The following is a 27,302-nucleotide window of genomic DNA, read 5'->3' on the forward strand; positions in this document are numbered from 1 at the left end:
ATTTTTTTTAATAAAATGTGAAAATAATTTATAAAAAACGTTTTTTTTTTTTTTCAGATGGAGTTTCACTCTTGTTGCCCAGGCTGTAGTGCAATGGAATGATATCGGCTCACCACAACCTCTGCCTCCTGGGTTCAAGCAATTCTCCTGCCTCAACCTCCCGAGTAGCTGGCATTACAGGCACGCACCCCTACACCAGGCTAATTTTTGTATTTTTAGTAGAGATGGGGTTTCTCCATGTAGGCCAGGCTGGTCTCAAACTCCTGACTTCGTGATCTACCCACCGCGGCCTCCCAAAGTGCTAGGATTATAGGTGTGAGCCACCTCCCCCAGCCTATAAAAACCTTTTAAGAATAAGCATATCAGGGTCCCATTGCTTTGATCTTGCTTTGAAATATGGAAGAGTTTGATTACCCTGAGTGAAAATCCAAAATCCTTGAAGACATTATTCCTGAAGATGAACCTAGATTCTAAGCTTTAACACAATTGCAAATGCTGTGTAATGTGAATGAATTATGACTCAGGGCATAGTTTTAAATATTAATATTACTTAGCATATAGTGATTGAATATAGTTAATTTAATTGAGAACTATGGAGTAAGTCTTAGGAATATATCACATTATGTTGTGGTGCACAGCCAGGCCTTGAAGAGATAATACAGGAATTCGACCCATGAATTGAATTCCAACATTTCCAGAAGGGCAATTTCATTATAGAAATAAGTTGACTATACATCAAAAATAATAATGGAATTTATAGGTGAAGAGTAATAGTGTGGTTGAAAACAAAAAGACTACTTACCAACTTAAGCAGACACTAATTCAATTCTCAATTATATTTTTTCAGAGTTGATTTCTCAGATAATAAATGCACTGCTTATGAGAAATTATAAAATACTTAACATTATTTAATGATTCATGTTTAATGAATATGGAGTGTGCTTTTCTGCATTTTAACATAAGGAAAGAATCAACATCTGTCTGTTGACAGAAGCAGTGCTGGGCATTTACTTAAATAAAAAGTTATCAATGTCCCACAAAACTGTACCTTAATGTATGGCTAAACTGAGTCAGAACACATCTTTTTAGTTTCAATTTATCCTGTGAAAACATTGTCATTGATTTATTTTCTCAACAAGAGAAATAATTGCCAAAATAGTAGCATTTTCATACTTTATTTAGCTTACAATGTTGTTGTCATTGTGATGCTTTCAGAAAAATGTCCTGTGGATCTCAGCTCTGGATGAAGTAGATAGAATAATGCAACCTATTTCCCTTAATAAAAGTTCAAATTACATAACTAGGTGTGAAGGTTAATTTTATCTGATGAATTGGCTGGGTGACAATTCCCAAATATTTGGTCAAACATGATTCTGGATGTTTCTATGAAGGTGTTTTTTGAATGAGATTAACATTTTATTATATTTTATTCTTGGCAAGTTTTTATTGACTAATATTAAGATTATATAATTTAAGAGATTAATATTTAAATAGGTGGACTTTGAATAAAGCAGATTGCCATTTGGAATGTGGTGGAGCCATATCCAATTAATTGAAAGCCTCACTTGATAAAGACTGATCTCCTTTGAAGAAGAAGAAAATTTGCCAGCGGACTGCCTTTTAACTCGAACAGCAATTTTTCCCTGAGTCTCCAGTCTGCCCGCCTATCCCATCAGGACGTGCCAAGCCTCCACAATCACATGAGCCACCCTCCACATTCTTTTGGTTCTGTTTCTCTAGAAACTCCAACTAATTTAATAAATATGGTAATATAGTCAAGTTGTGTGAAAAGTTTTATAGAAATCAGTGATTTTAACTAATCAGTTTCAATAGTTAACCTTTTAAGCTGATAATTTATGTAAGTACCCCCAAGTAAAATATGGGTTATGGTGGATAACACCAAAGGAGGAACTGGAGATCATTATAAAAAGTGAAAAAAGCCAGACACAGAGGATGACTTTCACAGTTCTCACTCATATTTAGAAACTAAATAAGTTGATCTCATGCAAGTAGAGAGTAGAAAGATACCAGAGGTTGAGAAGGGTGATTGGATGGGAAAGGGGCATGAAGAGAGATTGGTTAATGGATATGAATATACAATTAGACATCAGGTATAAGTTCTAATGTTTGATTGCAGAATAGAGTGACTGTAGTCAAAAACTGTGTATTGTATATTTCAAAGTAGCTAGAAAAGGGAACTTTTTTTTTGGCAGAGTCTCACTTTGTCACTGAGTCTGGTGTGCAGTGGCATGAGGATGGCTCACTTCAGCCTTGAGCTCAAGCAATCCTCCTGTCTCAGCCTCTGAAGTAGCTGGGAAGGAGACACATACCACCACACTTAGCTAATTTTTAAATTTTTAGAAGGATGAGGTCTCACTATATTGCCAAGGCTGGTCTCAACTCCTGGACTTAAGTGATCCTCCCACCTCAGCCTCCCAAAGTTCTGGGATTACAAGAGTGAGTCACTGTGCCCAGCCAAAGGGACAACTTTAAATTTTCCCAATATATATTAATAGAAATGATAAATAAGGTGATGTATACTATAAATACCCTGACTTGACCATTACAAATTCTATGCATGTAACAAAATACCACGTGTACTCCATGAATATGTAAATTATTATGAATTGATAAAAAAGATTTTAAAACATTGTACATGACAAACATTTTTAATAAAAAGCGTGGCAGTCTAATTGCATAGTAAATGGTATATGTTATTTATGGAGGGCATTTGTGAACTACACTTTATAAATTAGTCTAATTCAGTATAGAGCAAAATATGCCTAATACCAATCCATTGAATGCCTTAAATCTTACTAATTAATCTGCTCAAAGCACTGACATCAGATCCTTAATGCAAAATAAGCATTTATGTTAAGCATTTGGATCAAGGCCTACCTAGCCCTGAAAAGAAAAATTGAACTAATATTGATTGCCATATCATTTTCCAATTCTTAAGTTAAAACTATTTTTGTTCAAATTCTAAGACAAATATTTAAAGAAATATTGATGAATGGTGTTAGAAGCTAGCTGTTTCCTGATGTCAAGAATAATAAAGTGAAATACACAGTTTATTACTTCAAATACCTGAGTCTACCAATAACAGACACACAAAAAATTCAAAGTACAATATTAGTGCATTGATGAATAGGCTGTACAAGCACCAAGGCACATCAACAATTTCTCTTGAAGAAACTAGGATAAGAAATTAATATTGAACAGAGTCTTGAGTCATCATTAAAAAACAATTATTGTATTCCAAATCTGTCCTGAGAGAGGAATAGATAGATAGATAAGTGGATAGATAGATTAGACAGATACATAGATAGAGATAGTATCTAAATTTTACAGGAAGCCTGCATGATTCATAATAATATTGCTTTTCTCCAATGAAGATGCTGAGCTCAATAATTTCAATTACTTTTTCACCAAGTAAGAACAGTAAAGGGCAGAAAATTTTATTGTTACATGTATCACCAATATCTTATGTAGATGTTAATTTGTATGTGAATTCTGGCTAACTTATATGTCTTTATTTTTTAACTATAGCATTACTTCCTCTATAGTAAAATTGAAGCTGCTTTAAAAGCATGTATATGCTCATGCACATACATATCCAAACATTCACACACACCACATGTAAGCACTTCTATGTGTTTAGGCATATGCATAAGAAAATATCAGATTCAAAGTATGTTCTTGTCTTCGATGCTCATTATTTACAGTATAGATGACAAATATATCTCTAAAAAAAGTATAACTTGTTTTGACAACTTTTTTCTAATTTTATTTATTTATTATTGTTTTTACAGATGGAGTCTCATTCTGCTACCCAGGCTGGTGAACATTTTGAGCTCAAGTGATACTCCTGCCTCAGCCTCCTGAGTAGCTTGGATTACAGGCACAAGCCACTGCACCCAATTCAATACTTTGTTTCTAAATCACAAATTTTTATACTACTGGACTAGTTGTATTTTTCTAATGATGAGCCATAATAATTATATGGTAAATACAGGTAAATAGTGTATAACTATTTTTCTTTAGTAAATTACAGTTTAACAGTGGGGAAAGCTGAGAAGTGAAGATATAAACACAGAATAAGAAGTTCTCAGAGAGTAATAAATACCATGCTGTTAAAGTAAAAATCGAAAAATTCAACATAGTTAATACACAGTGTGCATATATTTTGAGGGCTGATATATCATAAGGAGCTTCAACTTGATGCTAGAGGTACTAAAGAATGGATAAAATAAGAGAACAGAGCAATACATGAATAAGGCATCCAACAGGAGACTATTATAGGTATACAGATTAAAAGGTATAAAGACTTGAACTGTGGTTGTTATAATTAAGGTAATGTACTGATTGCAGATATAGTATGGTATAAAGTTGATAAACTGAGTGGATAATTGGATATAGAATGTAAGAGAGACAGTGGTGTTTATAATGATACACAGGTTTGAAGATGGAGTATTTGAATTAAATTAGTATTCGTTGAATAAGGAAAGAGAAGAACAAGCTCAAGAAAACATGCTGAAGTTGAAGTATCTGCAAGATACTAATATATAAGATATCGAGATGCCATACTGACAGATTAATGTACAGTGGAAAGTTCTGGGAATCAGTTAGTTTTGATTTCATTTTTCAGTTATTTTACACCATGATATTTTTTAAACCATGCAAATGTTTGAGAGCACACCAGAAATAAAAAAAAGTAGAATTAAAGGGGAAGATTGTTGAAGATGGAATCTAGGCAATCCCAACATATAAGAGACCAAAAAACGATAAAAAGCCCTCAAAGAAGTCTGAAAATGAGAGGCCAGGAGAGACAAACTATATACTACAAATCAAGTGAGAAGAGACAGCTAAAATCAAACAATAAAACAAACAAACAAAATGAGTCAAAGAAAGGAATGGTATGCCACGTCAAATGCAGTTGAAAGTTCAAACTAGACATGCTCAAATACGGATTTATACTTTAGCACAAAAGAAAGTGCTGATGACCTTAGAAAGGTCATTGGCATACTGACAAAGAACACCATTTTGAAGTGAGTGTTAAATGATAGATAGGAGAGGAAGTGATGACATTGCTATCAGTGGTTTGTAAGTTGGAAAAATTTTGATAAAAGAACAATTTGAAAGGTAGAATTTGAAGTTGTAGAAAAAACAAGATCAAAGGAGGAAATATTCTAGGATATGGAGAGGGAAATCATAGCACAAATAGATAATCATGTACAGAATAATTTGCTTACCCTTTAAAAGTAGAGAAACAGAGGATGGTAAGTAATATAAGAGAGGAGAATGAAATTCCTGATGAACTAGGAGACAAATCTCTCTTTTACAGCAGGACAAGTAGCTTGAATAACATGACAGATTTCTAGAAAATTTTTCCAAAATTGCCCAAAATAGGAGAAGTAGATAATCTTAAAGATATTGGTGAAAGCTCTAAGTGATATAGCAGAGAATGAACAAATTCGCTGGAGGGGCATGATTGTTGTGATTTTCTTTAATAGAGCTCTAGTGAAGGAGTTTTTATGACAGAGAAAGAATAAGGTTAGATGGAATGGGGTCTGAGGTTTGCACGGTAAACCCAAGCATCTGTATTGACCAACTAGTAATAGAGCAGTTGATAAAATATAAAATAAACTAAGCTAGGTGATAAATCTGAAGAAGGAAACCTTCTAGGCAATGTATGTCTATGAGCTCTAGAAACCAGGAGTCCTGGAGCCAGAGAATGAGACAATTAGAATGATAGATGATCAACTGGCTTTGTTCAGAGTTTCAAATAATAAAATTCAGTTTTAACTAGTGAAAAGAATCATGGTGTGGATAAGTAAGTAAACTATTTTCCTTTAGTAAAAAGAACCATGATATGGATAAGTGAGTAAGTAAAGTAGAGTGGAAGTGAATATTTCAGGAAAGCTAGTAGTTATGAGATTAGCATACTTGATATATCATCATTTTAGAATTATAATTTCACTTATTTTCATTGTAAAATCAAAGCTTAGACTGGGGAAATCTTTAAGCTGCATTTCAGAGGCCTCAAAGGAAACAGAGAAAAGTTGGATAGGTCATTATAAAACAAAGAAGAATGAAAAGTAATATACTAGAATGACATGAATCTCATAGTAGGTGAAGTTTTTATGTGAGTGAAAACTTAATGTGTTAAAAATTAAAACGAAATTAGATGAATAATGTACTGTAGATTGTCAGAAAATATGTACATTTCACCCTAAAAACATTCGGTCAACATGAAGATGTTGCTATGGAATTTTCTACCTAAAATATTTTTCTATATTAACTTTTGTACTCTCCAAATTAAAAAAAAAATTACATTAGAAATGACCAACATAGGTTTTAGACTCAAGAGATTATGTAAAAGGGAATTAAGAAGTTGTATTATTAAGAATAAGTTAAAACAGGCCGGGCACCGTGGCTCACGCCTGTAATCCCAGCACTTTGGGAGGCCAAGGTGGGCAGATGACGATGTCAGGAGATCGAGACCATCCTGGCGAACACAGTGAAACCGAGTCTCTACTAAAAATCCAAAAAAAAAATTAGCCGGGCATGGTGTCAGGCACCTGTAGTCCCAGCTACTTGGGAGGCTGAGAATGGCGTGAAGCTGGGAGGCGGAGCTTGCAGTGAGCCGAGACTGCACTACTGCACTCCAGCCTGGGCAACAGAGTGAGACTCTGTCTCAAAAAAAAAAAAGAATAAGTTAAAACATTAATTATAAAAATATTTTAAAAATATATACATGGTATGGAGTTTCTGAAAACAATTGTAGGGAAAAGAAAGAGAGATCAGGCTGTTACTGTGTCTATGTAGAAAGGAAAGACATAAGAAATTCCATTTTGACCTGTACCCTGAACAATTGCTTTGCCTTGAGATGCTGTTAATCTGTAACTTTGCCCCAACCTTGAGCTCACAAAAACATGTGTTGTATGGAATCAAGGTTTAAGGGATCTAGGGCTGTGCAGGATGTGCCTTGTTAACAAAATGTTTACAAGCAGTATGCTTGGTAAAAGTCATCGCCATTCTCTAATCTCGATAAACCAGGGGCACAATGCACTGCAGAAAGCTGCAGAGACCTCTGCCCTGGAAAGCCGGGTATTGTCCAAGGTTTCTCCCCATGTGATAGTCTGAAATATGGCCTCCTGGGATGCGAAAGACCTGACCGTCCCCCAGCCCAACACCCATGAAGAGTCTCTGCTGAGGAGGATTAGTAAAAGAGGAAAGCCTCTTGCAGTTGAGATAGAGGAAGGCCACTGTCTCTTGCCTGCCCCTGGGAACTGAATGTCTCGGTATAAAACCTGATTGTACATTTGTTCAATTCTGAGATAGGAGAAAAACCGCCCTGTGGTGGGAGGCAGGACATGTCGGCAGCAATGCTGCTTTGTTATTCTTTACTCCACTGAGATGTTTAGGCGGAGAGAAACATGAATCTGGCCTACATGCATATCCAGGCATAGTACCTCCCCTTGAACTTATTGTGACACAGATTCCTTTGCTCACATGCTTTCTCGCTGACCTTCTCCCTATTATCACCCTGCTCTCCTACCGCATTCCTCTTGCTGAGATAGTGAAAATAGTAATAAAAACTGAGGGAACTCAGAGACCAATGCGTTAGCAGGTCCTCCATATGCTAGGTGGCGGTCCTCTGGGCCCATTTTTCTTTCTCCATACTTTGTCCCTGTGTCTTATTTATTTTCTCAGTCTCTCATCCCACCTGATGAGAATTACCCACAGGTGTGGAGGGGCTGGGCTCCTTCAACAATGAGTGTTCATTAAAGAAAGTTGGATGGAGGAGATTAATTTACAGATGCATTTGATAATTTTCTAAAACCAGATTATCTCTATACTTTCTCAACTCTATAGTAGAAAAGGTAAATATTTTAATTATATGTTTATTTTATGACAATGTTCTACCATGTAATTACACACACAAATACATATAAACTAGCACCCATAACTGAGACCTATATATTAAAATGCAGATAGTTCTTATATAATGCCATATAATATCACCCTCCTATGCGTTAAATGATACTATGACTAAAAGCTCTGTCAATGTAAATGTATTATAAGAATAAATTACCACATTTCAAGATGTGAAAAACAGTACTCATTAAAATAAGTCATGGAAAGATAAGAATTGTATACAGCATCATATTGGATAACTATTAAAAATGAAATATAACTGTATTATATAAATATTTGGACTATAATACTGACAAAATAATACAGTCCTGAGAATGTTTGGTATTCAAGTTTACCCTGAAAAATAAATAGAAGAGATGTCAAGAAGTTATCTGATCACAATTTAATTATCAGGTAAAAAAATGGACAAATCATGTTACAAAATAAATGATCGTGGAAACAATTTTTAAAGTAGAATTAATTCTCTGATATTCAGATATTATTTTGAAAACAAAGAAATTAATATAAGTTTATCTGAAAGCTGTCACACAAATTCATTAACAATTATAATAAAATTTAAAACTATGAAAAGAAAAGTTAAAATAAAAATTATGAGAATTTTATTCATTCTTTATGCCAAAATAAATTATAGATACTCAGATATTTTATGTAGAAAATAAAACTAGAAATTACAAGCACAAATTCTATTTTAAAAATTAGATGAAAAATAATTATTTCTAAATAAGCCATACAAAACCCAAAATATAAAATATGTAATAGATAAATTTCGATGTTTGAAATTCATTTTTTTCAGAAGAAATAGAGGAGGAAAGTATCTGTTACATGTATATTAATTCATAAGGACATTATATATTAGGAAGAAAAATGAAAGCATCCAAATGAAGAAGAATGTGGGTAAAGACCATGAACATGTGATTTCTACAAAAACTAAATATAAATAATAAGTGTGAAAAAATGTATTCACTACTAATCCAAAATAGAGTCTAATACTAAATGAAGTCTCTTTTCTGCTCACCAATTATTAAAAATTACTAGGTCTGTGAATATCCAGTATTATTGAAAAAACGAAAAAAAAAAGACATTCTGAATTATCATTTTCGGTCTGTAAATTAGGAGATAAAATTCAGCGATGTATGCTAAACGTTAAAATGAGCTTATTTATGACAGCATTTATTTTGCCTCATTCTTACAAATATGACTGAAGAAGTTCACAAGGATAAATGAGCATAGCGAATATTTTAATGTATGATATGTCATAAATGTTTAGGAAATATTTTTCAACATCTAAAAAATATTGTTAAATAAATAAATAATCATCGTATTGCCTTCTTATGGAGGCAGTTAGAATTTATATCTACAGGATGTATATTGCACATCAAGCAAAAGTATATTTCCAGTAATATTATTTGGATCAATATATATTTATGTGGAAATACATATAGAAATATTTTGATAGGAAAAGGTATTGGAGAACAATAGGTAAAATTTGTGTCTATCAGAAGAGATGGGTCATCATATTAATGAAAATGCTAGCAGTAAGTGTATAATACTTTATTCTTTGTAATTTGTATTTTGGGAAAAGTATCTGGTATATATATCTTATTATATTGAAAACTGAAGCTATTATTATCTTTCAAAAATAAACTCATTGTATTGAATCTGATGCCTTCCCAACATAACATACACAAATTGAATTTTAAAAATTGTTTTTATAAATGAGGCATTGACGCAATATTATTTTTGGAATAACAGAAATTATTGAGATACAATATAGCACGTCTGAAATTAGCAATAAGATTCAGTATATTTTCAAAAGATTTATCACAGGAGGAATCTAAGTAACTTTGAATATGTCCTCTTTTAGGAAACGTGAAAAATAAATGATATTTTAAATCAACTATATTGATGAGAATATCCATAAGGACCAATAATTTATGATATTTTCTTGCAATAATGAAGTATTATTAATAAAGCATTTTAAAAGCTCATGTATTTATTTTTAGATTGTTTATATGGAATTCCATTGTGATGCTTTTTATGGTTTTCTGAAAATTTTTTTAAAGAGAAAAAAAGATTCTCTAGCATTTTTATATTACTCCTCATACACTAATCCTGTTAATGCATGCAATTAAATCAGAAACACCGGCTGTTGAAAGAAAAAGTATGTGTGCTTATTAAAGTTTGAGAGTCTTTCTTTGATTATAGTAACAATATTTTTATTACCTGTGTGTGTTTGTGGGTATATTTTTTAAAATTCTTATTATTGAGAACATTCTTTAGAATATGATGACTACTTTTTCTCACCATCCAGATATCTATCTCCCGTTGAATTGTAAATGCCATTATACTGTGGCATATTCAAATAGAATAAATGATTCTGCTATAAATAGACTATATTTTCAAATAGTTATTGCATTTGTAATGTGTTGCTCACATTCAAATATTGCTAACCCAACCGTCTAGATGCTTGATGATTATTAAAAAAAAAAGTCCATAATATCAGGCTTGGAAAACATCACCATGTCATGAAAGATGAATCAAAATAACATTGACATTGCACAGCAGTACATAGTTTTAATGCTGTGCCATAATGAGAAACAAAACCATTCATAGAATCACATTTCATGCACTTCAAGAATGATTAGCTATGACAGTTTTATTACATGAACCTTGACTGGCAAAATGGCTCTCCCTTAATAAGAGTTTGATCTCCTGCAATTTTACAATCATATATCACATAGGTAAATAGAATCTCACCATTTATATGAGTATCCGACGACATTAATATATAGCAATATAAATTTGACTAGTATTTTAAAGTAGTAACAGTGAAAACAGGTTCATTTGCAATGCCAAATACAGCCTGAATAGTATATGTGTTACTTTTTATTGACGCACAAAGAAAATACAGGCTTAAGTAAGAAATTTAAGTGATGTACTTAAAAGACCTTTTAGTGAAACTGTCAAGAATCATAGAGACAAGAAAATTGTATTCTTCTATATATCTTTAGCTGAACTTCAAAACAGAAAACGAGAAATCGTAAGTAACCATATGTTCAAAGTATGATTTATTCGTACAGTTTTTGATTGATAATATGTCTTACATCAGATATATTTGAAATGTAGATTCCTCCCAAAATAGTATTATCTCAGTATGTTTGCAGCTCTTGATAATCTAATGGGATAATGGGAGATAAATTCAGTGGGAGATACCCACTTAATTTTTTTAAATGTCAGATAGTCACTTGAGGCAAATGAATCATTATTTTATCTGCAATTTTAAAGTTGAGTAATAATTTCTTCAGAATTACTTTTTCTAAGATTTGACAATTCTTTTCATTAATATATTCAAGTTGTTGAACTATTTTGAAGTATGTTTCAGCAAAGGTAAAATGAAAATATACAGACAAACTTTAAAATCAAGAGAACATCTGTTAGCATAAAGAGTAAGATTAGATAACATTAACTTAAAATAAAATTGTGGGGAACAGCCAAGATGGCTGACTAGACGGAGTCAGGAAGAACTTCTCTCACCAAGACAGACCAGACCATCAAGTAGATTAGCACACTATAAACAGATCTTCAGAAAGAAGGAAGTCATTGAGTATGGACAGAGGGAGGACACAGATCCTGGGTTAAAAGGGGAAGGAACTGGGAACTCTTCATGGGGTGGCCAAGCATTGGGACTCATTCCTGGCCCTGAATGGCTCCTGGGGAAAGGGTGAGTGCAATAGGTGTGGAATGGCCTACTCTCACTATGGAGTTCTGGAATCCCAGCGGTGAGAGACTGTATACTGTCCATGGACATCTGAGCTGGCAGATAGAACTTCCTGGGGAATTGGCAGAGACAGAACTCCAGCCTGCATAGGGCGCAGAAGGTTTGGTGCAGGAACAGGCACAGTGGAGCACAGCCATGGTCACCCAACCCACAAGGCTCAACATACTCCACTAGGTGGCTTTAGCCTTTGTTATCTGCTGGACTAGACAGAGCGGGGTGGCCTTCCCCATGTGACAGGGCCAGTCTGATCTAAGCAGCCCTTTGTCTGTCAGCCTCTCCCAGGGTCTCAGCATGACTGCACCCACTTGCAGCACAGCCTCAGCTTGTCAGTGGTCACTGCCATAGCTTTCACCAGCTGACCCTGACTATCCACCAGAGTGCTTTTGCAGACAGACCTCTGCCAGCATACACCCACACACGGCAGTCCTCCACCAGTGCACACTTGCCTGCAGCCTTCCACCTGCCACTTTAGTGACTTATACGCATACACAGAACACCTACCTGATGAACCTGTCATCATCCCACCAATGTACACGTGTGTGTATATCTACAGGTGTGCCCATATGCATGGACCGTCTGCCGCCACCTATCCAAATGTGCAAGGGCCCACTTCTACTCTACTGAAAAATTTTTCATGCAGCCCCCATTGGAGTGTGGTTGCCAGAAGATTGGGAACATCTTGGACCCTCCAGCACAGTACACACTTAACCTTGAGAGGTCAAAGAACAAAGCTGCAGGCCTGGGCCCAGCCCTCCAGTGTTAAAACATGCAGCCCAGGAGTGCTGAGCTAAACCTACACTGCCTGAAAGCAACCAGAAAGAAAACCAATAGACTAAACCCAACTTATTCCATAGCCAAACCCTCAAGGTCACCAAAGAACACAAAAGCAAAATTCCCTATCTGAGAGACAACTTCAAAGATTAAGGAAATATCAGCCCACACAGATGAGAAAGAACCAGTGCAAGAACTCTGACAACTTTAAAAGCCAGAGTAACTTCATACCTCCAAAAACCTGCACTAACTCCCCAGCAATAGTTCTTAACCAAGTAAATGGCTGAAATCACAGACATAGAATTCAGAATCTGGATAGAAAGGAGGCTCATCAAGATACAGCAGAAGGTTAAAATCCAATCCAAGAAAAACTAAAATGGTGCATGTATTAAAAGATGACATAGCCATTTTAAGAAAATAACAAATTGAGCTTCTGGTAATAAAAAATTCACTACAGGAATTTCAAAATGCAATAGAAAGCATTCATAATATAATTGACCAAGCTGAGAAAAGAATCTCGGAGCTTGAAGACTGCTCATTTAAATCAACACAGGCAGACAAAAATAAAGAAAAAGAATTTTTAAATATGAGCAAAACCTCAGAAATGTGAGAATATGTAAAGAGACCAAACCTACAACTTATTGGAATCCCTGAAAGAGATGAAGTGATGGAGCAACTTGAAAAACATATTTGAGGATTCTGTCCACAAAAATTTCCCCAACCTTTCTAGAAAGGTCCACATGCAAATTCAGGAAACTCAGAGAACCACTGAGGGATGCTATGAAAAACAACCATCCCCAAGACTTACAGTCATCAGATTCTTCAAAGTCAAGCAAAAGAAAAAAATAAATAAATAAAGGCAGTTACAGGAAAGAGGCAGGTCACATTGAAAGATAACCCCATCAGGCTAACACCAGACCTTTCAGCACAGATTATACAAACCAGGAGGGATTGGGGCCCATATTCAGCACCATTAAAAAAAGAAATTCCAACCAAGAATTTAATATCCAGTCAATTGAGCTTCATAAACAAAAAATAAAACTTTTTTCAGAGAAGTAAATGCTATGAGAATTTCTTACCACCAGACTGCCTTACAAAAAGTTCTTAAGGGAGTGCTAAACATGGAAATGAAAGACCATAACCTGCCACCACCAAAAATACACTCAAGTACATAGTACATTGACTCTAAAAACAAGTGTACAATCAAGTGTACATAACAACCAGTTAACAACATGAAGACAGGATTATATCCTTAAATATCTATATTAACCTCAATGTAAATGGTCTAAATACCCATTAAAAATCACAGTGGCAAGTTGGGTAAAGAAGCAAGACCAAACTGTAGGCTATGTTCAAGAGACCCATCTCATATAAAAAGATAGTCATAGGATTAAAATAAATGAATGGAGACAGATATATCAGGCACATAAAAAAAAAAAAAGAAGTGGTTGCTAGTCTAATTTTAGGCAAAATAAACTTTAAAACAACAACTATCAAAAAGTACAAAGGAGGACATTACGTAATGATAAAGCATTCAATTCAAAAAGACTTAACTATCCTAAATATATATTCACCCAACACTGTAAATACCAGATTAATAAAACAAGTTCTTAGAGGTTTATGAAGAGACTTAGATAACCACAAAATAATAGTGGGAAACTTCAACACCCAACTGACAGTGTTAGGCAGATCATCAAGGGAGAAAACTAACAAAGATATTCATGACCTAAAATCGACACTTTAAGAAATTGTTTGAAGTGCTCGTTCCCCGGTGCCATAAAGAAATGGCACTTCAACATAAAGTTAATTTACTTAGCATAAATTTAATTTACTTCCTGCAGAAAGGGTACACTACCCACTAGTTTTGCCACGAGAGTACACCCAACAAAGGAGACAGGGTCATTTATAACCTGACGTGTCCACCCTACTGCTGTGTCTGGTTTCCATTGGCTGGAACAGGAACTCACATTCTGTATTTGTCCCGATTGGCTAGCAACTTAGAACTTTTTAAAAGAGGAGAACAAAGGAAGTAGGAAGTAACTTATGGAATGCTGAGAAAGGTAAAAACATTTTTAAATAAAGAAGAGGAACAGGCTATAACCTAATGCTTGCTTGGACCAGTATAAGCATGTCAGGGCAAATATTTAGGCTAAAGTGTGGGAGCTAAGAATATAACGTACATTGATTTCTTTATTATGGCTAGCAGATATTTAAGAATGTTAGCACAGGTATTTGAATAAATTTTGCTTCTAAGAGAAGTTACTGTTTATTCCTAATTAGATGGGGAGGAAAGTCTTTGAAGAGGAACCTCTACTTTACTTTTTACAAAATGAACCTAACAGATATCTACATAATACTGCACCCCTAAAAATATACATTATTATTTTCACACCACACGTAATCTAAGATCAACCACGTACTTGGCCATGAAGCAATTCTCAACAAATTATGAAAAACTGAAATTATTCCAGTTACACTCAGAGCACAGCAAAATAAAAATAGAAATCAACACTAAGAAGATCTCTCAGAGCCATATATCTACGTAGAAATTAAACAATCTGCTCCTGAATAACTTTTGGGTAAATAATAAAATTAGGGCAGAAATTTAAAAAAAAATCTTCAAAACTAGTGAAAACAAAGATACAACATACCAGAATCTCTAGGCCACAACTAAAGCAGTGTTAACAGGAAAGTTTATAGCAAAACATCTATATTAAGAAGTTGGTAAGCTCTCATATTAACAACGTCACATCTAGAGGAACATCTAGAGAAAAGTAGTAGCAAACCATCCAAAGCTAGTAGGCAGAAAGAAATATCAAAAATCACAGCTGAACCGAATGAAATTGATATGTTAAAAACCACATAAAAGATCAATGAAACCAAAAGTTTATTTTTTAAAATAATAAATAAGATTGATAGATGGCTAGCTAGATAATGAAGAACAAAAGAGAGAAGTTCCAAACAAACATGAGCAGAAATGATATAGATAACATTACCCCAAAGAAATACAAAAAGAAACTCAGAGACTATTACAAACACCTATGTGCACAGAAACTAGAACACCTAGAAGAAATCGATAAATTCCTGGAAACATACAGCCTCCCCAGATTGAAATTGAAAAAAATAAATTGAAATCCTGTACAGACCAATAATAAAATCCAAAATTGAATCAGGAATACAAAACCTACCAACCAGAAAAAGCCCTAGCCAGACAGAATTGCAGCCAAACTCTACCAGACTTTCAAAACGAACTGGCACCAGTGCTACTAAAACTATTTTTTTTTCATTGAGGAAGAAGGACTCCTCCCTAACTCATTCTATGAGGCCAGCATTATTCCGATACCAAAATCTGGCAGAGACATAACAAAATAAGAAAACCTGAGGACAATAACCCCGATGAAGATATGTTCAAAATTGTCGACAAAACAGTAACAAACTGAATTCAGCAGCACATCAGAATTGGCCATAATAAAATAAGCTTCACAGGATATTGAACAGGTGGTTCAAGGTACACAAGTCAATAAATGCAATTTATCATATAAACAGAACTAAAACCAAAACTCACATGATCATCTCAATAGATGCAAAAAGGCTTTTCGTTAAATTCAGTATTGCTTCATGTTAAAAAAAAAAAAGCTATACATAAAAGGAACATACCTCAAAATAATGAAAACCATGTTTGCCAACATTGTACTAAACAGGTGAAACCTGGAAGCATTCCACCCGATACCGTAAACAAGACAAAGAGTCCGACTTTTACCATTCCTATTCAACACAGTACTGGAAGTCCTAGCCAGAGCAATTAGGCAAAATAAAGGAAAAAAGGCATCTAAATAGGAAGAGAGGAAGTCAAACTATCTCTCTTCATAGAGGATATGATTCTGTATCCGGAAAACTCCATAGTCTGGGCTCAAAGGCTCCTAGAATTAATAAACCACCTCAGCAAATTTTACAATACAAAACCAATGTACAATAATCAGTAACATTTCTACACACCAATAGTACTAAAGCTGAGAGCCAAAACAAAAATACAATCTCATTCACAATAGCAACAAAAATATAAATACCTGGGACTATAGCTAATCAGAGAGGTAGATGATGTCTACAATAAGAATTACAAAACACTGCTGAAGGCAATTAGAGATGACACCAAGAAACAAAAAAAAATTACATGCTCATGTATAAAAAGAATCAATATTGTTAAAATGGCCATACAGACCAAAGCGATGTACAGACTCAATGTTATTCATGTCAAACTACCAATGACATGTTTTCACAGAATTAGAATAATAAAACTATTCTAAAATTTATGTAAAACCAATAAAGATCCCAAACAGCCAAAGGAATCCTAAGCAAACAAATAAAGCTGGAAGCATCACATTACCTAACTTCAAACTCTACTACAAGGCAATAGTAATCAAAACAGTATGGTACTAGTACAAAAACAGACACATAGATCAATGGAACAGAATAGGGAGCCCAGAAAAAAAGCCACACAAATACAATAATCTGATCTTTGGCAAAGTGGTCAATAACAAGGAATGAAGAAAAGGACTCCCCATTCAATAAACGGCACATGGATAACTGGCTAGCTACATGCAGAAGATTGAAACTGGGCATCCTTCTTGCACTATACACAAAATTCAGCTTGATTTGGTGAATTAAATACTTAAATGTAAAGATGGATTAAAGACTGAAATGTAAAACCCAGACTGTAAAAACTCTGGAAGACAAGATAGGGTAATACCATTCCAGACACAGGAACCGGGAAAGATTTCATGACAAAGATGCCAAAAGCAATTGCAACAAAAGCAATGATTAACAAATCTGATCTAATTAAACTAAAGAGCTTCTGCAAAGCAAAAGAAACTATCAATGAAGTGAATGAACAACCTACAGAATGGGAGAAAATATTTGCAAACTATGCATCTGACAAAGGTCTAGTATCCAGCTCCTAGCAGGAACTTAAACAATTGAATAAGCATATAACAAACGACTGCATTAAAAATGGGAAAATAACGTTAATAGACATGTAAAAGATGATACACATGCATATGAAAAAAGCTCAGTGTCACTAATCATTAGAGAGATGCAAATCAAAACCACAATGAATTAACAATCTCACACCAGTCAAAATGGCTATTGTTAAAAAGTCACCATATAACAGATGTTGGCAAGTTGTAGAGAACAGGGGACACTTATACACTATTGGTGGTGGTGTAAATTGGTTCAGTCACAGTTGGAGATTTCCCAATGAATTTACAACAGAACTATCGTTTGGCCCAGCAATACCGTTACTATGTATATGCCTGAAGGAATATGTCATTCTACCAAAGAGACACATGTACTCATGTTCACTGCAGCACTATTCACAATAGCAAAGTTATGAAATCAACCTAGAAGCTCATCAACAGTGGACTGGTTAAAGAAAATATGGTACATATAATGCCATGGAGTACTATGCAGCCATAAAAAAGAATAAAATTATGTCCTTTGCATCAACATGGATGGAGCTGGAGGCCATTATCATGTGTAAATTAACATAGGAACAGAAAACCAAATACTGTGTGTTCTCACTTATAAGTGGGAGCAAAGCACTAAGTACACATGGATACTAAGAGAGGAACAATAGACACTGGAGCCTGCTTGAGGGTGGAGGTTTGAAGGAGGGTGAGGGTCAGAAAACTACCTATTCGTTACTATGTTCACAACATGGGTAATAAAATCATTTGTACACCAACCCCAACAACAAGCAATTTACTCATGTAACAAACCTGCACATGCACCCCCTGAACCTAAAAGTTGAATAAAATAATAAAATAAAATTCTTATAATTTTAAAACTAATGCAATCATTAATACATTCCAGAATGTCTTTCAATTTGTGCATGTATGTGGGCAAAAAACCAACACAAAATACAAATACAAAAAGTGTCATATATCACATAAAATTCTCATCACTTATATGAATATCTAATGACATTAAATATACAGCGAAATAAATTTGACCAGTATTTTATTGCAATCACACTGAGTAGTCAATTTTTAATGCCGAATAAGAAATTTTTTGTTACCAAATAATAATGACCTTCAAAATCATAATGATCTTTTGTCTAAAATTGAAGAATAATAACAGTATATGGTATAAAATTGTTTAAGAATGTATGTAGTATGCTAAATAAAGAGTAGAAATTTTTAAAATTTTTTCAGTTGTAAATTGGTAAAATATGATTCACAAAAATGCTTTCACTCTTGCTGAAATATTTATTTCAATTCCACGGAAGATGCTGATGTATCTCTTTTGTTATGCTCAACTGTGGGAAGGGAGTTCATAATTTAGTTTCTTTGTCTCCAGTGGGCACATTTGTTAGGATTTCCTCCATAACCAGGGCATCAACACTACCAGGTTTTATTAACCTGGTAGTGTTAATCTCAATCTTGAAAGCCACATATACTATGAAAAAGCTGGTGATATTGCTGCCCAATAATAAAAGGGCTTATTGGACCTTCCTGACTAAAGTTCCTAGAAGGTTCTTAGAATGTCCACTTGTGTATATAGCTTTCATAAAATGTAACCATGTCTGTTACCAAAAAATGTTACCATGTTACCAAAAAATGAATTCATGAATAATTTGGCAAATTACCCTATTTCTCCATCTAAAATGTTGACAAGGCTCATAACTGTTTGTTTGTTTGTTTTCTTTTTTTGTTTGTTTGTTTGTTTGTTTGAGACAGAGTCTTGCTGTTGTCGCCCAGGCTGGAGTGCAATGGCATGATCTTGGCTCACTGCAACCTCTGCCTACCAGATTCAAGCGATTCTCCTGCCTCAGCCTCCTGAGTAGCTGGGATTACAGGCGCACGCCACCACACCCAGCTAATTTTTGTATTTTTAGTAGAGACGGGGTTTCGCCCTGTTGACCAGGCTGGTCTCAAACTCCTGACCTCATGATCCGCCCGCCTTGGCCTCCGAAAGTGCTGGGATTACAGGCATGAGCCACTGTGCCCAGCCCTCATAATTGTTTTTTAACCCAACAAACTAGAGGGAGAATCTTAGGTACTTTTTGAGGTAGCAGTAGAGGAAATTTTATTTTTTTAAAGTATTCTGCCACTTTTTTCATTGGGTGCATTTATCATTTTTCTGGCTTTTTTTGTTAAGAGTTCAGGGAATTCCACAGCCTTGTCCAGGGGACTGCTTCCAAATTGCTCAGAGAACACTCATTATTTTCTACTATATGTGATAAATCCTCCTGCTCTGCTATCTTTGTCCTGAGTTAGTTACTATCCTTGAACCTTTCAAAGTTTAGCATTATTTGTATCCCCCAGCATTTTGGCAAAGATTTATATGCATTCCAACTGTCACAATAAATTATATACCCTTTCTTGTGGCTGAAACTACAATTGTCCTGCTAATTTCATTGTTTCTTACCTTGCTTTGTTCCCCATGGTTCTTTCTGGGAACTGCTTAGACAAGTAGTCTGATAGATAATAAACATCACTAAAACTTTGTATGGTGTTTTCAACTAATAGATAACACGAAAGTCATGGGCAAAATGATTTTGCTTTTTTTGTTCAGAAATGTTTATGACACAGAGTCAGTGTACAAATTATGCTTCAGCTGTTAATCATTCATTGACTCTTTCAATTTATATATTACTATTTTTAGAACAATCTCAAAGGAGAATATTTCGTTAGCAATTTTAAGCCATATTTTCACTCTTCCTCTATATTCATATTAGCTGTTGTTTTTATTAATAATTTAGTAGTTTTTTTACACTGCCATATGACCTTAGACAGGGATTTCAGTTATTGTAACCAATTGTGAACTATGTTCAGATTTACTGTGTTATTATTCATTACATAATTTCTAAAATGAACTTTGTAGTTTTCTATTTGAAAATAAGGATTAATAAATAACCTTTCTCAAGTAAAATAACTGGGTACTACGGGGACTTCTGCCTGAAGAAATTAATGAGATTTTTTCAGGCAAATAGAGGGAATGGAGGTTAGTGGTCATAGTACAGGGTACAGAGTCACACTGCCTGAGATTAAATTCCATCTTTGTCACTTATTAGCTGCGTGACCTGGGGCAAGTTATATAATATTTCTTTAAAGATTTTTATCTGAAAGATAAAAATTATAATTGTACCTAAATGATCATAGTATTGTCACAATTATTTTAAAACTGTGCTACAATAGAAATATTTTAGGTCCGTGGCACATAATAAATTTTGAAAAAAGTTAATTGTTTTTATTAGTAGTATTATAAATGTTAATGCAAAGTAGAGTAGGACATGTAGTGATGTTATAAGACATTGTATTTGACAACAAGTGCTACACATTGTGATTAACTATAATATTTAAATTATATAGAAAAAATGAGAGTACAGATTGAAAGAGTGAGGAAAATTTTCTTAGCCCAAAGGCATATATATCTTGATAATTAAGTGGAGGGTTTTAAACAGAGAAAGATGATTCTTACTGGTATAAAAAAAGATGTGAACAAACATGGAGAAAGGTATAGGAATACTTTGCATAAGAGACAATTTAAACTTAAAGAAAAATGTTTTAAAGGTAGTTCAAATGGTCAAGAAACCAAGAAATACCGATGCTATAACATTGGTAGAAAATAAGAAATTTAACAAATAGAAATTCATTTGAAGAGGAAATATGGATGTTAAGTATGAGAAGACAATTTTTTGGAGATAAACTTTGTAGGTTTTAGAAATAGATTCTCCAAAAAAAAAGTAGATTTCACCAGGCGAAGAATGCCAGTGAAAGCTAAGAGAGTTGTTTCTGAGGGATAATATTTGATAAGCACAGGAGGCTAATAATTTCTCAGAGACATTTAGATTTGAGAAAAGAAGGAAAAGCAATAACAAAATAAATTTCACAAGCAGAAAGTTTTTTTCATATCTTTACCTTTTCATTATTATCTCCAGTTATTATCTTAAATGCAAATAATTTTTATCAATTTGACTAATATGTTACTAGTCCACACAAAATCAGTGAGTAGAAAAATTCCAGTAATATCATCCTAATTTCATAAGGGTGTTATTTCTGATGGTTCCCTCTATTTAATCTTTAGTTATCCTAAACAATTTTGATAATATAGAAAGAAATGTGATCTAGAAACCCTAAAAAGTATTTACTACTTAAAAATTGCCAAAACATGTAATAAAACTTTTATCTCAAGTAAGGATCCATGATATTTATGATGAATTATCCAGAAAGAAAACTATTAATCATGTGCTTAGTAATATGCTAATCTAAACTAAAATATCACATAGTTCATACTGTACATTTTGTATGAGCTTTGAAGTAAGCTTTGAAAATATGTTTTGATATAATTTTGAAAATATTTAATAAAGGGCATGATTTGCTGCTGCATGAAAATTGAACCTCATTCAATATTTTCACACACTATTTTTTTCACCCAACTTCAAGCCTGTGATTTTAATTGTAATTGTGGTGTTTACCCACATTGAATAATCACAGAAGTGGTCATCCATTATAACTGATGGATGGCTGTAGAAACTGTATATGCTATTTGGAGTGCCATTTAGGGCATCTTATCTTGTGAAAACAAAGCACTTTTAACTACAAACCCAGTAATAATAATACATAATTATTTTTACATTAATTATATTGTAATTTACATTGTAAATTATAAATTCAATTCAATAATAAAATACAATTACCTTATCATTATAATTAATTAAATTATAATTATAACTAAATTGTAAAACAATCACAATTACAATTAATTACATTTAATCAAAACCAAATAATTATAATAAACAATTAAATAATAAATAATTAGAAATAATTTTACAAACAGTTTTTATACAAAATGCTACCTTTACACATGTTCATACAGTGGTATTTCCGAATCTCTGTTAGAGATTTCCTGGCTTACAATAATTCGTGCTGCAGTTCCTATAGAACATATTAAGCAGACCTTCGCTTTATCAATTTTTCAAAGTATTTACATAAATATATATTTTATTTTATTAATGCAAAATATCACATTCATCTGCTTTTCTGTGGAAACCCAGACTATAGGAATTTTTCACTTTTCTTTGCAGGCAGAAACATTTTTCTCATTCCTGCTCCAGCTAGCCACTTTATAAAATCAACTGTTCTGTCCCGTCATGCTTATTGAAGTTCGTTTCTACTTACATCTATATCTAGATAAGATACTGCCCAATTTATGAGTAGCTAATAACCACCAATTATGTCCTTAAGTGTAATTTGCTATGATTTTATTTTTCAACATGTTCTAATAAAGTCATATTTTATCCCAAGAGAAAAGTGGGTTACTTGTTGAATTGGGTGACGATAGAAATAGAGTGGTATTACTCTGCTAGAATAAATAATAGAGACACACAGTAGTTTTTAAAATATCTTTAAAATGTTAAAAAATATTTACACAGTTTTGGTCAGAGTGTCACTGGGACTAATAATTCTTTATTTTTCAGCTAGGTTTTTAAAATAATGTACAATTCCTCTATGGAATACTTGTGAGCAGATGAACATGAATAGAGCATGATATAAAGGTACATTAGCGTGAAAATTTCTTAAGCTCTCTAGAAGAGACTTGAAGATGCAAACAAGAACAATAATTACAAGTGTTAAGAAACAAATAGATCAAGATAAAGAAAGACCAACTGAGGATTTGCAGCTGGGGACATTTCATGCATTTTAGCTGCATTAAATGAGAAAAGCATAAGAAATGAGTGAAATTATTTGTTTGTATGTGTATGCATAGATCTAATTTGTAGTTTTATATGCTTCTGTTTTCATGAAAAACATTCCTCTCTCCTTGCCTTAGCAGCTAACACATGAAGAGTGGTTTTCTCTCTTTCTATTTCTTCACCAGTCTGATTACTGTGGCATTACTAGAGTAAACTAAGAGATTATTCTTATAACAAAGCAGAACTTAAAAATTACAAACCTTGGAAGAACATTAAGATTGTCACTGTATAGAAAAGACATATTACAGTAAAAAAAGTTCTAAAATAAAACAAAGAAAAATGTAAAGCTGATAAGTCTGAGAAAACGTAGGAAGACAAAATATCAGGATTAATCAAAACGAGAACAAAAGATAGAGATAAAAGACATATAACAAGAATTCTGCCTTCAGGAAATAATGTCTTCTGATAACATATTTTTTTTTTCTTCCCAAGATTAAATTCCCATTCCAGGGCCTGAAAACAAACAATGTCAGAAATGTCATAAAAATTAATTTGGTGTCAAAAAGTAAAGTTTTTTAAAACCTGACAAATGTGGCTTTGTAAGTATATGATTAATCTCTTTGGTATATATTTATGTACTTTAATAAGTATCCAATGTTATCTAGTTTTAAAATATGCTAAAAATATAAGATCCTAAGGCAATTAAGAGAGAAGTTCTTTTTACTAATGTCCATATGTTTACAGATTTTTCAGGATTAGCAATGTTTTTCAATGTCTTTCAAAAATTGGCAAATACATTCTTTTAAATACTTTATATAATGTAATGCAGCAAAAAGTGTTTTTGTGTGTCTTCAATTTGTAAAACCTAAAGATCAATAAAATTTTGAAATACACTATGATATATGGGAAAATGCTGAAATATTATTTTTATATTTTAGATGATTGAAATAATATTAAAATAAAGATAATTTTGAAAAAGTGAAAAAAGTCACTATTTAAGTAAAGCTGTTAAAGATTAGTACTTACAAAGGAAAATAAAATAATAGCTATCAATAATTCTTGCCCTGATATAACTATTGAAACTAACTATACTATTGTCATATTGTCAGCTATCTACTTTTGCAACAGGACATTTCTAGGATTTTTTGTAAGCTGCTTACTTAACTTCAGTTTCCTAAGTATTAGAAGCAGGCTCTAAATCACATAAATAGAAAACGCGTTCCTTTAAAAGTTTAAGATTTCAAGTAATTGTTATGTCTATTAGTTGACATAAATTATTATAAAAATAATACTTTTTTGTCAGGGTGACTGCACATTCTTTTACACATAAACTCGACTTTGATTCATGTACCCATTTTCCAACAATAGAAATAAGACTTTGTTATTATTGTTTTACATACAATCTTCTTGTTACACCTTTCTACTTTATATTAAAAAGTCATTTTCAAATGTCTTCCTACTTACTACTGTAATCTAAACTGTCTGGAGACACTTTATTAGATAGAATTGGTCTAAGTCAGTGTAATGCCACAAAGGTGGCAATTCAATTACTAGCTTAATGAGATCCATGTTTTATGCTAAGATAGAAATAACTATTAAAATAAATTTATTTTAAGTAGAAATACACCAAAAATACTTATATATACTATATACACTATATATATACTATACATACACACTATATGTATACAGTATATAGTAGATATATATATATCTACTATACTATAGTATAGTATATAGTAGATACATATATATATATGTATATAGTAGATACATATATATATATATATATATATATATATATTTATCTTTTTGGTTTTGTTCTTTGTCCCTTATTATAGTGCTCTTCTGGCACTGTTCAACATAACCAATTCCTATATGACTTTATAGCAAAATAAAAAATATCACCTTCCTCAAGAATTTTAAACTGAGTAAGCATATTTCAAGCAATTGTATTCCTTCCTGCATAGGCTTTCCATTTCATTACGAATTTTAAATAGATTGTACTCAAATGTTTATAAATTTTAGGTACATTCACCATTTGCAATTTATTTCTATATTCTTTTTTTTCTTTATGGGAAGGTTTTTATTCATAGATTCTTTTTTAATGTTTTCTTTTTTTTTCCAGAAATTCTTTTTATTATTATTATACTTTAAGTTTTAGGGTACATGTGCACAATGTGCAGGTTTGTTACATATGTATACATGTGCCATGTTGGTGTGCTGCACCCATTAACCCGTCATTTAGAATTAGGTATATCTCCTAATGCTATCCCTCCCCGCTCCCCCCACCCCACCACAGGCCCCGGTGTGTGATGTTCCCCTTCCTGTGTCCATGTGTTCTCATTGTTCAATTCCCACCTATGAGTGAGAACATGCGGTGTTTGGTTTTTTGTCCTTGCAATAGTTTGCTGAGAATGATGGTTTCCAGCTTCATCCATGTCCCTACAAAGGACATGAACTCATCCTTTTTTATGGCTGCATAGTATTCCATGGTGTGTATGTGCCACATTTTCTTAATCCAGTCTATCTTTGTTGGACATTTGGTTTGGTTGAAATTCTTTGCTATTGTGAATAGTGCCACAATAAACATACATGTGCATGTGTCTTTATAACATATAGAAAGTTTCCTGTTATAATAAAATTAAGTTTAAATATAAATTAAAAACAACTTTGTGAAGAAAAATTGGAAATGCTGGAGATTAAAGGATCAATTAGAGTTAAATGCTAGAATATTTATGCCAAAGAAATATTAAGCAAACTATTGTTCCTGAGCTCCTTGTAGAACTATGGTTTTCATACACTCTAACATATATTGCACTTATAGAAAAATTTAAACCTATTTGAAAATAAAACATTATGATGTAAATTCTAAATAATATATAAAACTTACATGCTTTGTGAAACTTTTGCTTAACATCATGAATAGTAGATGATTGTGTCACCTGAAAAGGAAAAGAAAATAGAGTTATTTTTAAAAACTGTTAATTTGTTTTCTATCCATTTAAGAAAAAAAAGTTTAAATATATCATAAAATTCTTACACAATAAGAATTTTTGCTTCATTTATCTTTTTAGTGATTACTATTTTGACAAGCTTGAAATGTTGCAATCAGTAACAATATAATTTTTTAAAAAAATTTGTTTGTATACAACAGTAATAGCTTTATTACATTAATTCAATCCAATTTGTATCCCTAAGATATATTTTTGAATTTTCTTTGTCCAAAATAGTCAATGTATTTTTCCACATCTCATAAAACTATCAATTAAAAATATGTCTTAATGCACAGGAATGTAAAAGAATGTATAGCAATAGTACCCGAGGATGTGAAGTTAATTTATATGGACAAATGAGAGAAATGTTTACCTCAGAATTTTATGAGACAAAAGTCACCTTAAGTCCCCTACTGACATTATTTAAATCCCCAAATAAAAGTACTAAAGGTCCATTAAAATGCATGTGAGATATATTTTTTGGATTCCTTAAGTACATAGTAATTTGATAAAATATTTGGTACTAAATTACTAAAACAAACTCTATAAATTAAAAAATGAATAAAATATTTTTTATTCATCTAAATTTAAAAATTATTGAGGACTAAAGTTCCATGCAAATACTTCAAGCCATCGCAATACTTTTTTTTCTGAATTTGTCTCAAAAGACATTTTATGATAATTCAAGAAAATATATTTCCTTTCCCTGAATAAGCATACGATACTAGTGAAATTTATTATAATCATATGTCTACATGATTTATTTATGCTACACTAAAATCCCCTTATAACTGTTTTGAAAGGGTTAAATAAAAAATGCATAAAATGTTGGTGCATAATAGTCCATAAGAATTGTTACATTACATTTGATGTTTTATTATACACTGAAAGTATAACAACAAATACATTTATTTTAACATATTTCGCCTTCTACTTAACAGGATTGTGACTAAGCATTCAGTATACTGTTCAGAACTTTTTTTATGATTTCCTGTGTGTATATGATTTACTAAATAAGACAGTTATAAGATTTAAGCCCTAAAAAGTAACAGGTATTTCAATTTGTGTTATGCTATTAATAGCAAAATGATCCTAAAACATTCTGTGTATATAAAGTTATAAA

At 32.8% G+C, this 27,302-nt stretch overlaps 1 protein-coding gene across 9 annotated transcripts in view; it reads right to left on the bottom strand.

Annotated features, from left to right (window-relative positions):
* Positions 1–27,302, bottom strand: part of TECRL (trans-2,3-enoyl-CoA reductase like) — a 133,163-nt gene that overhangs the window by 72,798 nt on the left and 33,063 nt on the right. For all 9 annotated transcript variants that reach the window (XR_001741192.3, XM_024453961.2, XM_005265664.4 and 6 more), the window contains exon 2: positions 26,077–26,128. Coding sequence is in view for 8 of the 9 variants with exons in the window: in XM_024453961.2 (XP_024309729.1) it covers positions 26,077–26,128 (52 nt within the window). In the remaining variant the exon portion in view is untranslated. The remainder of the gene's footprint in view (positions 1–26,076; positions 26,129–27,302) is intronic.

This window comes from Homo sapiens, chromosome 4 (genome assembly GCF_000001405.40).
Source record: "Homo sapiens chromosome 4, GRCh38.p14 Primary Assembly".
Classification (NCBI taxonomy): domain Eukaryota; kingdom Metazoa; phylum Chordata; class Mammalia; order Primates; family Hominidae; genus Homo; species Homo sapiens.